At 47.1% G+C, this 15,511-nt stretch overlaps 1 protein-coding gene across 4 annotated transcripts in view; it reads right to left on the reverse strand.

The window, feature by feature from the left end:
- Nucleotides 344-15,511, reverse strand: part of CES1 (carboxylesterase 1) — a 30,246-nt gene continuing 15,078 nt past the window's right edge. For 2 of the 4 annotated variants that reach the window (NM_001266.5, XM_005255774.3), the window contains exons 8-14: nt 14,417-14,455; nt 10,396-10,536; nt 8,420-8,500; nt 8,010-8,157; nt 3,826-3,957; nt 1,022-1,094; nt 344-725 (exon numbers count right to left, since the gene is read on the reverse strand). In NM_001266.5, coding sequence (NP_001257.4) covers nt 542-725; nt 1,022-1,094; nt 3,826-3,957; nt 8,010-8,157; nt 8,420-8,500; nt 10,396-10,536; nt 14,417-14,455 — 798 coding nt within the window. In that variant the 3' untranslated portion in view covers nt 344-541. Of the gene's footprint in view, nt 726-1,021; nt 1,095-3,825; nt 3,958-8,009; nt 8,158-8,419; nt 8,504-10,395; nt 10,537-14,416; nt 14,456-15,511 lie in introns of all 4 variants that reach the window. The other 2 variants (NM_001025194.2, NM_001025195.2) reach the window with 1 other exon arrangement.

The following is a 15,511-nucleotide window of genomic DNA, read 5'->3' on the forward strand; positions in this document are numbered from 1 at the left end:
AACAGTGCCACGGGATCACCTCAGCACGTCTCCCTCTTCCCTGATCCAGACTCATTCTCAGCCTGGGCCACTTCCATTTCCATGGGCAACTCCAAATAGAGGGTAGGGATCCTGCACTCTGGCCACCCCAACTCGTATTGTTGGAAATTGTTGGGGGCCCAGAAAGGTGCATCAGGCCCAGAGCTCCCCTGAGCACCGTCCATGACCCAGCCCTCTGGACTCTGCTCATCCTGAGACCAGGCCATCCCCAGCAAAGCCACCTTCCTTCTCACATCGCCTCTTTCATCACCGTTCTGTCTCTGAGGACAAAGTATTAATCTCCAGTACAAGACACAAGCACCAATTTGGCCTTCAAAAGATCCTTTATTCCCAAAGCTGAGGTCACAAATACAAAACTTGCTCCTTCATGGCCTCTGTCCCCTGCCCCCCACCACCAGACAATTCCCCAGCCATGGTAAGATGCCTTCTGAACCTGCAATCCCTTTCGCAAAAGACCCCAGTCTTTGCTCCTCCAGGCTCCCAAGGCCGGCTGGATCTTCATTCACAGCTCTATGTGTTCTGTCTGGGGTGGCTTCTCCACTGCCTTCTTGGCAAAGAGGTTGGTCCAGAAAGCTACTTCTTTGTCCTTCAGCTTCTGGGCCGCCTGGGTGTTGGCACCAATCTGCAGATACCCTTCCTTCTGGTTGTACTCTGGCCAGTGGGGCAGCCCTTCCCCATTGGGGTTTCTGGAAACAGAATCAATTAGAATTGCCCCAAAGCTGCTGTGTGTTCCCAACAATCTTCAGAGATGTGTGAGGATGCCCAAGTTATCTCTGTCAAGAGGCTTGTATACCTCCAGAGATGGAGAGCTCACTATCTCCAGGGGCGGCCTCTCCGTTTGCAGAGAGCTCTCATTATCAGAGTGCTATGGTCACAGGGTCAGAAGTTTGATCACTAGAACCTTAGAAGCTGCCCCTTCCCAATAGGCATGCCCCGCCCCCCACCCTCACCAGCCGTGCTCTGTCTTTGCCACCAGCCTCACCCATTGCGAGCAAAGTTGGCCCAGAATTTCATCACCATCTTGCTAAGTCTGATCTCCTCTTCTGAGGCACCCTCTGTGGGGAAGAAGAAAAAAAGCCTTTGTTACTCAAAGTGTGGTCCGTGGACTGCAGCGTCAACATCACATGCGAGTCTGCTGGAAACATAGTCTTGGCACATGCCCCACACCCACTGAGCTGAGGTCTGCACTTTTAGAAGATCGTGGTGGATTTGTGTGTACTTTACCTTTCAGCATATCTGACCTAGGGCTCAGCAATGGGCATGCGTCATTCCATTGGCTGGCTGCCTTTGTCTCCTGTGACCCTCGCCTGCCTCCTCCCCGCTCAGGGTCACAGGAAATGCCCCACCCCAGGGTTTCCTCTACAGCAACCCCACTTTCCAGGGTTGCTCTCTCTTGGGTCTTTTCTCCCTCCCCAGCACACACCCACAATTCACATTCTGAAAAACAACAGAGCCGCAAGGCGCCTAAGCATGCACAGTGAGATGCCCAGAGGCGCTGGTGCGTTCTGAGCAGCCATGGGGTGAGTCCCATCTGATCTGTAACTGCTGAGAGTTAAGACTTAGAAGACACCGTGAAAGGATTTTTTAAACTATTGTATAATGTAAACTAAAAATAAAATCCTGACACCCCCAACTGACTGAACAGACCCTCTCTGGGCTAAGGGGAGCCTCGAAAAACCTTCAACTCTGTTCCTGCCTGGGAACGGACAGGAGGTCAGACACGCCTCATAATACTCCCTCCCTTTTGTGATTTAGACACCACCGGACCAGCATCAGCAATAAAATGAAGGTCATCATTCTGACAGAACACACTCTTTGTGGCAATAAGACACCAAATTAAAAACGAGACCTAAGGCCACGTCGGGCAAGGGTTCAGGCCTGCATCTCTAAAAAGTCAGGAAACAACAGGTGCTGGAGAGGATGTGGAGAAATAGGAACACTTTTACACTGTTGGTGGGACTGTAAACTAGTTCAACCATTGTGGAAGTCAGTGTGGCGATTCCTCAGGGATCTAGAACTAGAAATACCATTTGACCCAGCCATCCCATTACTGGGTATATACCCAAATGACTATAAATCATGCTGCTATAAAGACACATGCACACGTATGTTTATTGCGGCATTATTCACAATAGCAAAGACTTGGAACCAACCCAAATGTCCAACAATGATAGACTGGATTAAGAAAATGTGGCACATATACACCGTGGAATACTATGCAGCCATAAAAAATGATGAGTTCATGTCCTTTGTAGGGACATGGATGAAATTGGAAACCATCATTCTCAGTAAACTATCGCAAGAACAAAAAACCAAACACCGCATATTCTCACTCATAGGTGGGAATTGAACAATGAGATCACATGGACACAGGAAGGGGAATATCACACTCTGGGGACTGTGGTGGGGTGGGGGGAGGGGGGAGGGATAGCACTGGGAGATATACCTAATGCTAGATGACGAGTTAGTGGGTGCAGCGCACCAGCACGGCACATGTATACATATGTAACTAACCTGCACAATGTGCACATGTACCCTAAAACTTAAAGTATAATAATAAAAAAAAAAAAGAATCCACTTTGTTCTCACTGCCACGAGGTGCTTCTCTTTCTCTAGCAGCTAAACCAGCACTGGCCTGGAGCTAAGCAAAAGGAAAACAATAACAACGGCTGCAGCTGGGATACGCAGACAAACAGAACCCTGACTTGCCAGACTTAACTACTGCTTTGATTGCATAAGAGACTGATTTCAGTAACTTTCTCCAGATAAGAACATCACCAGCCATGGACTGGACCTGGCCGGTGTACAGAAGCTCCTCACTTGCTGAGCTTCGTGTCCTGAGAAGACCTTTGGACTTACAGGCCCTAATTGTAATACATTTAAATATTAGGTCTCCACCACCAGGTGAACATGGGCCATGTTACATACGTGTTTGTTTAATACACATGTGTCAGGACTGTCTTCATGAATATCCATTGCTCCCCCTGTAACCTGTTGAACATGTATGTTTAGCCAATCCGTTCACATAAAGCTCCTACCCAACCCCTCCTCCAATGAGCCCGTTTCTGGGCTTGGCCAGAGGCACCTTCCCAGCCTGTGGGATGGCCACCTTGCTGACTATAAACCATATAAAAAATATTCTCTTCTCCTGTTCCAAATTCATACATCCTGTGAATTCTAAATCAACAATTATTAAATGTACTAAATGTAAAGGTTTATGAGTTTTTGTTAGAGACAGACAGAAAGACAAACAGGCACACATTAGACCTGACTTAGGGTTAACACCAATTCTAATCTCACCCTCACTCACTGTCTCAGCGCTCCTGGGAGAGGGAAATTGATTGGTGGCTTCTCAACCTAGAGCAGGGCCCCGCATGTGTCCCACCGCCTATCTTGTTGATGACACAGCCCAGGATTCTGAGTGTCTGTGGCAGAGGGTACATGATACACATCCTCCCTCAGGTGTGTTAGAGCGGGAGGAAGCCGGGGAACAACCCAGTGACATTCAACCCTGTCATAGTGAATCCTGCAGGAGACCCCCACCACCACCTGTCTTGATGTCACACAGCAGGATTCTGAGCGTCTGTGCAGAGGGCACATGAATACACATCCCTCCTCACATGTGTTAGAGTGGGAGGAAGCCGGCGGACAACCCAGTGACATTCAACCCTGTTATACAGAATCAGGAAACTAAGACCAGGAGAGGACAAAATTGCTGAAGGCCACCACACCAAGACTGGAACCCAAGTCTCTAACTCCTAGCTCACAGACAGGAAGGAGCATTACCTTTTAAAAATGGGGCCCCAAAGACGGAGAAGAGCTCATCCCCGTGGTCTCCTATCACCGTCTTGGGTTTCATGTCTGATGAGAAGCTTGGACGGTACTGAAACTCATACATGTAGGTGGGTGCTCCAGCATCTGAGAAGACAAGGATTCATGCACAGTTCATGTTGCCAGACACACACCTGGAGGCTACCAAGGTCTTCAGCTCTGCAGCAAACCTCTGGCTGTCAGCACAGTAGAGAAACAGAGTCTCAGGAAAGCTCAGTGATGCGCTCCGGGCTGCATAGCTGTCTGAGGTGGAAGCGGAATTAGAGCCAAATATTTGTTCAATGAACAAATGTTTAATGAATGAATGTGGAAACCCTGGGTCAATTCATTTAAAACAGCTGCCGGTGCAGGGACCCTGACTCTGCCTCGTAAACCCCTTTGCCTGCTGGTGCATTCTCACACAAGACAATCTCTCTACATCTGGTTACACCGGATATAATTCATTGATAACAGACTCGCGTTCATTCACTTGGATGCCATCTCCACCATGACAGGTGTCTTCTGTTCTGCCTCGTTTTGAGCATTTCCAGTGTTTTTCTCACCCATCCTGAGAAGACTGAAGCAAATCCAAGTTGCTTGTCTGAACATGAGGCTATTTAAATACAAACATATGCAGAGAGGGAACAATCTGCCTCTTGTGTCTCAGGAACCTGCGGCACTCACTGCTTTATAGCTCACTGTCCCCATGTGTCTTGCTGCCTGCCTGGCCTGGGAGTGTTAGGGTGTTAAGGCAGTAAAGCCCTGGCAGAGAAAAGAAGGCGCTGAGCAAGGGTGACCTTGCCTCTCCCCTGCCCTCTCTCCTTCGGCTCTGCCCTCCTCTCCCACCAACAAAGCTCTCCTGTCCCAGCCCCAGGAAGATGCCAGTTTCCCAATGATTGGCTCATTGGAGCCACAGATCGCTGCCCCTTCAGGGCTACCTCGTGGGCCGCCTGGCCCTGTGCCTCAGCACTTTGCACTGGTCATGATACCCACTGAGAAGTGACACTAAGACGGAAAGAGTCAGGGCAATGCCAGGCTGGTGGAGAAAATTTACAATGTCCTCCCCTTTGGGTACAGTAAGAAATTTGGAAAATAAAAACAATTAGGAATAATTAGAAGAAACAAAAATATGGAAACGCATAAAGCAAAACTAGATATCACTCATAATTCCACTACCTGAGGCAAGGGCCATGCATTTTTTGTATTTCCTTCTAAAATTTTTCCATATCCTATATAATTTAAAAATCAATTTTAACAATCAAATTTAAAGTATCACTCATAACTCTACCACTCAGAGAATGCTTCTTTTTTATTTTAGCATATCTCTCTTTTATGTATTTAACTGGGGATGATATTATATATGGTATTTTGTAGTACACTGTAATCACTTCCCTTTTAAATTGTTTTGTAGAGACAGGGTCTCACTATGTTGCCCAGGCTGATCTTGAAATCCTAGGCTCTCATAATCCTCCCACCTCAGCCTCCCAAAATGCTGAGAGTGTTGGCAAGAGCCACCGCCTCCAGCCATCATTTCTTAACATCATTAAAAATTCGTTCACAAAAGGATTTAACAATGGGAGCTCACGCATCCCTAACCTCATGCCCCACCCGCACATGTCATTTCAATGTGAGAATGAAGAATAATCTATTCACTCATCTTTGTCAGCCTCCTGCACTGCACCCTCGGCTCAGCAGGAAGCGCACCTGGGAAGATGCCATCCTTCTGTGGCTCTGTAATCCACCTGTTAAATGGCTGCTTCAAGGTCAAACAAAACTTGCTAAAAGGAGGGTTTGACCTTGCCTTTGCCCCTCGAACATTTTCCAAAGAAACTCAGAGCCAACCATAGAAGAAAGAGCTTTTGTGAATGATAGAACTTATTATAGGCAGCATGCTGCCCAAAACGTACTTTGTAAAACTCTTTGGCTAAAGCCATTGATATTTATACAATTCTTACAATCACAACACAAGTCTTCAGAGGAAAGTAGCGCACAGATTTGGGTAATGACAATTAGACATAATAAGAGAAGCAGAGACAATGAGAGGGCTAGTCATGGAGGACATGCAGATTAAAACAGGCTGATGTGCTTCTTGTTGGTGGGGAAGGCTTATGAAACTGGAAGTGTTATGCTAATTTTTAATCTTAGCATCCCAAATGAGAAAGAGAATTAAGAAATCCACATTCTTATGCAGTGGAATGCAATTTTACAATATTTGCCCAAAGTTCTAAAACATTTGCATTGTCCAACCTAGTTATTTACTTCTAAAAATAATCCTAAGAAAATTATTAGACATGTGTTTAGAGACTTATGAACATTAGGCTGAGCTCAATGTTATTGTAGCATCAGAATGTGAGTAGCCAGGCTAAACATCTAATAGGATATGAATATTAAAGTCTATTTAACACAGCCATTTCATGGAATAAGGAATGCTTTGATGAGTTTGTATCAACATTGAGAAAATCCTCACAACATAGTGTTCTATGAACAAAAGTAAAATATAAAATTGATTTTTAAAGTATATAGGACATGGAAAATCTTTAGACGAAAACACAAAAAATTTATAGCACTTGCCTCCAGGTAGTGGAAATGAGTGATACATAGTTTCTTCTTTTTGTGTTTCCATATTTTTGAAAGTTTCTATAATTTAACATATTAATTTTATATTCAGAAATGTTATTTTATCAAAAAGAGTGAGACAACAATAAGTGAAAGTAGATAAAATCTGTGTAGTCCTGGCAAAAAAAAAAAAAAAAAAGCCCTGAACTTAAAGTCATGGGAAACCAGATGAAAAACATAAGTTCAGTATTGCTCAAACCATCAGAAAATGGAGATGGGAACTCTATATATAGTTCAGACGCAGAGCATAGGGCAAGGGCAAGTTTAAGAAAGAACAGATTCAACTCCAGTGGTCTTGGTTAAAGGTTTTTATCAGGACCCTGTGAAGAAATGAGGGTTATGAGCACCTGCCCCTTCCTGTGCAAAGGTGTGTCAGGGCACCTGCTAGTTAAGCGTTAGCTAGTTTTTATCATGCTTATGAAGTTCTAAATTTAAAAACCCTTCCAGCATGGTTAGAGAGAGGACATTTCCTAGCTTGCAGACTAGGCGAATGAGAGCTGGAAGAAAAGGAATCCTGTGAATCTCCTCTAGCTGGCACGCAGGAACAGACACTCCTCTCTAGGTGAGCACACACATCCCTAACGTCATGCCCCACCCACACAGCCTTGGGTCAGTGGTAGCAGGTCCTGCATAGACCCTGCCCTTGCCCTGTGCTTGCATGCTACTGCACGCACTGAGATGCATAAAAACCACCCTCAGACACTGCCATTCTACAGACCACCTCTCCCACACCCGCCCTGGCTCCTCTCTCTGGCCTTCTTGGTCCTGGACAATCCTCTGGATCCCATGCAGGGCTCCCACTTTTTATCCAGCTCCAATACTTAACAAACTTGTTTGCAGCTGGCTCAGACCTTAAAACCCTTCCACGACTCATCTTTCAATATTTGTCCTACAGCAGCCCTATGTCCCACAATAACTCCAGGCATGGAGCCCTTGCAGCAGATGCTGCCAGGGTCTCACCTATATCCCCTCTTCCTGGGCATGCCAGCCTGACTTCCACCTCCAGCATCTGCAGCTCCAGGCCTGAGGCCTTTGTCTGGTCACAAGAGACTACTCTGCCCTTGTGTGCAGCAGGTCGAAGTCACAGGGAATAAACAATTCCTTGCAAGAGCCTTCAACCAATGACAAGTAGAAGCTGGTGAATAAATACCCGGCTCCCTTGCCACTCAGATGGGATGCCCCTGAGCCCTGTATTCTTGGTGTTTCCTTGAGTTTCCCCGCTCCAGTTGTCCACAGTGGATACTCCCTTGACAACGCATCTTGGATTGGATTCCATCTCTTTCCTCTCTCACTTCCCCACCTCCCTACTGCTGTTATCTGGGATCATCACCTTAAAAAAACCACTTGCCTCTGGATTTTTTTTTCTCACAGTCTTCTGCTGGCATAAACCAAAATAAGACAGCACCTCATCCCATGCCATATGGAATCAGCCTTTGAGGCCTGACCCTCAGCTGTTTCCATGTCTGTCTATGCTGGGAGGTAGGTGGGTCAGATACAGAAGCTCGTGGGGTTTGTGTCCCTCCCGTTCGACCTCTGGGACTCACCTCTGTGGTTCCGGGCCACAATCACAGATGGGACACCAAACATCACATCTGCTATCAAGTCCAGGAACAGGTCTTTCTTTTTGACAGTGTCGTCTGTTCCTCCTAAGTATTTCTCAGTGGCTTCTGGAATCAGTTCCTTAGCAATGCACTGAAATAGATCAAAAAGTGACCACCAGCCCCGGGTGAGCGATGCAGCTTCTCCAGCCCACCAGAAAGTCCTGCCTCAATGGTGAACCCCATAAGCCCTGTGCAACTCCCCGCTAGGGTGGAAAATGAAGTGGGAAAGGTGGAAAGATGGGGGAAACCCTGAGGCCCCAGTCTTCATTCTGCCATTTAATTGCTCTATGATTTGGGCAAGTCCTTGTCCCTCTCTGGGTCTCAGCCAATTCCCATGATTCCTAGACTCTTACAACAAGGGGATAGGACTTCCACAGGAGTGACATGGCTGTCTTCTGGTCCAGTTGCCCTTCGGAGAGTGGATAGCTCATCAACTGCTAAAAAAAAAAAAAAGTTCAGCATTTATGAATCATTGGGAATTAATGATAAGAAACAAACTGACCAACCAACCAAACCAATGCAGTCTGAAAGTCCTCTAATTATGGGGGCTTTTAAGGGCATGAGTCTTTACTGAAATGGGTGAAATCAATGAATCAAATGGGCTTATATCCAGAAACTCAAGCATTGCAAAGTTTACAAAAAAAAAAAACAAAAAACAAAATTTCAGAGAAGCTGTGGCAGTGTTTTGCAGTGTGTGTGTGTGCGCGCGTGTGTGTGTGTGTGTCTGTGGCTGGGATCCCTACAGTGGTCAGTGACATGGAGATGCAAGGTGTCTGCCAGGCCAGTGTGGAATAGAGGGCTCTGGGGAAGAGGATGTAGACCTCCCTAGTACCCCCACCTGTCACAGATGACACTGAAATCCTTAAATCCTGTCTTCGTGGCTTTGGTCTTTGGTATAACCTCTGAAATCCTTCTGAGGGGCGAACTGCACATCTCTACGCACATAACAACTCTTCCCAAACCTCTGCACTCAGGGACTCGACCAATCTCTAGCATTGCTTCTAGCAGCTTAAGGCTGTGTCCCTAGAATGACCCCAGTATCCTTAACATAACTGCCTGGGAAGGCTCAACCCTGCCAGGACAATTTACTCTGCTCCAGCCAAAACCTGGAGACAAGCAGCCAGGTCCCCGAACCCAACTAGAGCAGTTACTTTAGAAGCCTGCAATGATAAACACTTTCTCTGCCCTTTGGGATGTGAATCTACCACCCAACCCCATTTCCTTGAGGACCTGAGAGCCTTCTCTTTGCAATGCAAACATTCAGGGAGCTCACTCCTGATCTTCCCAGTCCCTGTCGAAAGAGTAGAGCCTGACTTCAGTGGGTTCTTCCTGCGGTCTAATGCATGGCTTCCTGTCCTAAAGATAAGAGGAGTTTGTTTCTGCCCCAGGTGAGCCAGGATGAAGACATCCAGGTGGTCTAGTCACATGAACCAAGCCTCTCCCCATAGACCACAGTGTTTCCCTTGGCACACCTGGCCTATGAAACGTCATCAGGCTTTTGTTTCAGGGATGTGAGTCCACTCCACGCTGGACTATTTCCCCTATTGCAATCATATTACTGAATAAATCTGTCCTACTGCTTTAACCAGGGTCAGTTTTGTTTATCTTCAACTGGAAGGAGAACACTTCTTTACTTTTAGAACTCAATTACTTTTTCCATTTATTTGTTTCCAACTTTTATTTTAGGTTTGGGGGTAACTGTGCAGGTTTGATCATGGGTAATTTGGGTCTCTGGAGTTTGCTGTATAGATTATTTTGTTACCAGGTATTGAGCATAGCACCCGATTAGGTAGCTTTTCCATCCTCATCTTCCTCTGACCATCCACTCTCTTAGTAGACGCTGATGTCTGCTGTTCCCTAGAAGTCAATGGTAACTCAAGAAGAAGCCACTTTCTTTGGATATTTTCAATGAGGTGATGAAGAGCATGAGTGATTTTCAGGGGAATTACGCACACCCAGCCCGAGGTGGGAAGCCAGGAAGCCCCCGACTGCTTCTCCGGACTCCTCCACTCCTTCCCCCTTCTAGGCCCCCTCCGTTTTCCCATCTGCAGAGTTATTTTCTCTACTGGCCCTCCCAGCACAGACACTTCAGGATTCTTCAATAGGAAGACAATAAGAGAGTCTGGGGAGAGGGAATCCCAGGGCCCTGATACCCCGGTGAAAACTGTGCCCTCCTGGAGAAGATTTCCGTGGAAATGTTAACTCCTGCTGAAGGGAACAGCTGCCCAGGACTCAGAGTGCAGCTCGGAGAGGGAAGCATTCCTGGGACCAGAGACAGGAGGGCTGATGGGGGTGGTTGAGTCCCTCCAACAGACATGTGCCTTCTCACCATTGGAATCAACCAGCCAAACTCCTGCTTGTTAATTCCGACCATGTAGGGGACAGTGTGGAAATTCCTTTCAGCTTGAAGCTCTTCAGGTGTTTTCAGCAGCAGCATCCCATCAATCACAGTGCCCAGAAGGGGTTGACTCTGGGGAGAGAGCAGTGCAGCACCTGTGATTCCCTCCCTAGTCACACCCATGTCCCCAACTCTGCCTGTCTGAGGGTGAGACCAGTACCATAGACCGGCATGGCCATGCGCCATGGCTGCACATGCTCAGGATCCTAACTTAGGGGGGTAGGTCTCCATGACTCAGGGGCAGAACTTCAGGCAGAGGCTGACACTGCTCAGGTGATGAGGAGAGGAAGAAATCTTCACTCATATTGAAATACATGTATTATCTATGTAAAATTACATGTCTATATATTTCAATTTGAAGTGCATGCATTTTCCTCTGTGTGTCCACAATTGATTTTCGGTAGTCCTGGCAGTTGCTTCTGATAAAGCCCCCGTGAGTACTGAATTAGAGAATACAGGGTCATCACTCAAGGGGGAAATACTGGGTTAGGTTTTTGCAAACCTCTGGCCACAACATTTTCATCAACCTTCTTTTATGTGTGGGTTTCTGTTGAAAGAGACTTCCACGGCTCCATCCCACACAATAGGTGTTACTTTAGCCCTTTCTATCACAGCCTCATGTATGAATCGGCCAATTTCCTTCTCCTTTTTCTGAATGTGCTATTATGTGGATTTTTCAACACCAAATGCACGGCCAGCAGCACTGCAGCTCCTGCCTCATCCAAGCTTGTCTCACACAGGCACCTTCCCCGTAAGGCACAGCACAGCCTGTTTAGCTCAGGAACGCCAGACAGCAGCGCTACTCTTGGGTTCGCTCTAAACAGTGACATCACTACAAAAAGCACAAAAATGCAGAACACACGGCACTAAATAGACCGCGAAGAGGACACTTGTAAACATCAGAGATGAAACAAGAAGAGAGAGGTTGCCTCGCCGGATCTCAGATGGAACATGCCCATCATGCAAATCCAGCTTCCCCTGCTCTGTACCTGCCTGTGTGTGACCATGAAAGTGCCACCAGTATTGATTTGGGGGTTATAAGGACATTTTAGCAAGCAGGTGAATTTATAAACACAGAATCCATGATTAATGAGGAAGAGATTATGCTATCTATCTGTATTTAAACAAGAGCTGTTATTGATCCACGGGTGGCTTTGAGGAGGTACCGAACCCTGGTCACTCAAGGAGCCTAGACTAGGACATGATTCCCTACTAGAGAGAAAATCATGAGTAAAAGAATCAGTGATTAACTCACAGTATATTGATCCATGTCTTAATTTTAGGTTTCACCTTTGATGAATAATTTTTATATGGTCACAGATTAGAGAGAGCCCAACTCATGTGTTGCCATCAGGGCAGCTGGTTCTGGGTACAGTTATATTTCATATTTAGTCACAATGGTGTAGTTGCTACGATAGAGCGTGGATGTTGCTAAGATAGAGCATGGACTTTGAAACCAGATTAACTGCATCTGAAGCCTGGCTCTGCTACTTACTGGCTGGGAGTTTCACCTGTTTGGGCCTCAGTTTTCTCATCTAAGAGGTGAGTTATTGTGAGGATTAAATGGCTGAACACATGTAAAATACTTAGCACAGCACCTGGTGTCTGGAAAGGCTGAATAACTGTTAGGTATTACTTGTTAGCAAGGTTGCTGTGGGTCCCTCTCATAGACACCAGTCCTCTGTGGAATCTTCCCAGTTCCACGCCCCATGGGCTGTATTTCCCTTCTGGATATCAGATGGAACTGGACAATTCCTAGCCTTTGAGACCCTATGGCTTCTGGGACCTTTGGTCTGCTCTACAAAAGCCAATGAATGACGAGCTAGTTCGGACTGCCTGGGGGAGATGTTCTGAAAAGTGGACCAGACCTAGCTGGACAAGATCAGATCCTAATCCAATATGGCTGACAATGAAGAACAGGATTGGGGTGCAAGTCCAGCCTCCTTAAGAGGCTGTGCAGTTCAGGCAGGGCTGCTGTGGGAGGCCAGCAAGAGGAGCAGCCCCTCTGGAAGGAAGATGCAGGGCAGACTACGTGGAAGAGACGCCGCCTGCCTGCGGTGGGCTCTGGGCAGTGAATGGTATTGCCAGGTGAGGAAAGGAGTGAGAATTTCTAAACAGTGGGAACCGCATGAGCAAAAGGACATAGGTGTCACTGTGCAGGGTAAATTCCAGAAACAACCAAGAGTTCTTGGCTTGGAGAAATGCTGTGGGGCAGGGTCTAGAGGGAGGGACAGGTGCAGAGCCTACCTTCTGCACAGTCTGGCACACAGTGTGCACGCAGGTGTGTTTTGAAGGACTAACTCCATGGAGGGAAGGGGATTTGTCTCATAAGGAAGGTCAGGCTTTTAAGAAGTGGGGGTGACGTGCTCTAATTCTGTTAAGGAAGGCCAGTCTGGCTGCACCATGAGACATGGAAATGGGGAGAGAAGGTGAAGTAGAAGAGGCTAAAAGTTGAGGCAAGAGACGGGAGCACCTCAGTTGGGTGACAGCCATGCTGGAAGACTGCCATCAGCAACAATGACAAGTGATTGTTCTCCACTTAGAGTTTGCAAGTGGCTGCCCTGTGTGGGCACAACCTTGTTGTGTCAGAAAACTCAGGGCGTCCTCCACTCCTCCCCGTTTCTTACCCCTTGCATCCTGTCCATCAGCAAATCCTGTCAGCTATTCCTTCAAAGATATCCAGACTCCAACTACTCCTCCCATCCCCACTGCCACAGCCCTGTCTAAGCAGCCAGGAGCCCTTGCCTGGATTATGGCAATGCAGTGGCTGCCCAGCTGGTCAACTGCATCCACTTTGCCCCTTTCCTACAGTCTATTTGAACACCAGAGACAGAGACCTTTGTGAGATCTAAGATCATGTGACTCCTCTGTTCAAAACCTCCAAAGGCTTCCCATCTTGCTCTGAATCCAAATCCAAGTACTTTAATTGATCTCTCTCCCACTGCCCATTACCTCTTTAGCCTCAAGCCAGTCTGTCCCCACACTCGGTCCTCTCCAGCCAGACTGGCCCCTTCTGTCAGGGTCTTTGCAGTGACTGTTCCCTCTGCCTGGAATAGGCTTCTCCAGGTTTCCTGACAGCTGGCTTCCTGCCTCCTCCAGAGCTTGGCTCAAATGCCACCTTCTCATTGAACCATTCCCTGATCCTGCTACTTAAATTGAAGCCACCCACAAACTCTATCCCCTAATGCTGCACACCATCAAACGGAATACATACTTGATTTGCTTTTTTATTGCACTGTCCTGGCACTGTAATGGAAGGTCCCAAGAGGGTAGGGAGTCTTTCTTTTTTCACTGTTATATCCCCAGCTCCTAAACAAGTCCTGGCACATAGGAAGTGTTTATTAAGTCTTTGCTGAATGAATCTCATGTACTCCGCCCATGACCATTTAGGAGAGTGCTGTGATCTCCAGGGAGGCAGCAGAGAGGACAGGATTGTAAGATTCGTCAGAGGTGATGTCACCAGAAACTGTCAACCCACTGGGAGGTGGGGGTGGGAGTGGGGATGAGGAGATTGGGAGAATACTGTTGGAGTTTCCTGTGTGCTGGGAGGAGACGAGTGTCCTTGGACTGAGATTTAGGCTTCCCCTCTCCTTGGCTAATCATCGCTGTTATCTCTGCCTCCTGATTGTGGAAGGTTCTGTTTCAGCCTCCTCCTACAGTGCCATTTTGGGGAGCAGAAAATGTAAAAAAGAAGGGGAGTGGGCAGAGCCCAGGGCACACAGAGGTGATGCCTGGGAGCACTGGACTGGGAGTCAGGAAAATGGGTTCCAGGCCAGCCACTAGTCTTCCTGGCTGTGTTACCCAGGTGAGTCACTACCCCTCTCTGGGCCTCAGAAACAAACACGCAGGAGTTACTATAATTACCCAAGAGATGATTCTTTCACTCACAGTTAATTGGAGCTTAAAGGTGCTAAGACTCAAAACCCGTAATCCAGAAACAAAAGGTCCTTACCTCTCTGGGGTCTCCCTGTAAGTCCAGAGATAAGAATTTCTGTGAAGACAAAGGCAGAGGATGTGGGTGAGAGGCTTACCAGGAGAACACTGAGCTGGGTGAGTGGGGCAACAGAGGTGTCAGGTTCTTCCCGCATCACTCCGTGAATTCGTATATCTATATGTGACCTGCGGTGCTCCATCTCCCTGAACATGAATATTAGTTCAGGGATGGGCATACACTCATGTCAATCCAATAGAGTTTACCCCAAAACTTTTGCAGGAATTGTTTAGAAAGAGGGTTTTTAAGCAGATAGGACATAAGTCTAGAGTGCTGTTGTCTTTAACCTTCCCAGGAGATATATCTGCCTAAGAGTGAAGCCAACACAGAGATGTGCAAAGCTGAAGGACAGAGAATGGTAGATTCTCAATAATATCCTATGATCATCTGGACCCAGCCATGCCTGAAGCCATCAACTCCTGAGATTTTCAGTTTACACGACGATGCTATTGCAACACATTTCTTTTTCTGTTCAAGGTACTTGGGAGAGTTTCCTCATCTCCCATTAGAAAGCCCTGACTCACGCAAGCTCACTGAGTCTCATCCTACCCCATGCTTCTCTTTGGTGTGTGTTCACCAAGATTGCAGTGACTGTAGTGTTGCACTGTAGTTCCCAGATCTGACCTGTGCTCAGGATGTAACCAGTGCAGGTCCCTCCATTAAGGATTGAAGTCCCACTAGCCAGGAGTGTGTGTGTGTGTGTGTATGAGTGTGTCTGTGTGTGGCTCTTTGTGTGTGGGTGTCTGTGTGTGTCTCTGTGTGTGTGTGTCTGTATGTGTTTCTCTGTGTGTGTGTCTGTGTGTGTGTGTGTTTGTCTGTGTGTCTGCATGTGTGTGTACTGGAGGCAGCGCGTAATCATGGAGGTGCTTCCACAAGATCTCAGAAAAACTCAAAAGAATGTTCTAGGATCTTAGGGATGGGTTTTCCCAAAGACTCAACTCTTCCCTTTTAAGCTGGGTCCTCTGATGCCACATGCAGAATTGCTGGAATATTTGCCTCCTTCCGGGCGTTAGAAAACAGTTGTGTTTTCATTCCTTGAACACTTTGGTCACTTAG

The sequence above is a fragment of the Homo sapiens genome, chromosome 16 (assembly GCF_000001405.40).
Source record: "Homo sapiens chromosome 16, GRCh38.p14 Primary Assembly".
Classification (NCBI taxonomy): domain Eukaryota; kingdom Metazoa; phylum Chordata; class Mammalia; order Primates; family Hominidae; genus Homo; species Homo sapiens.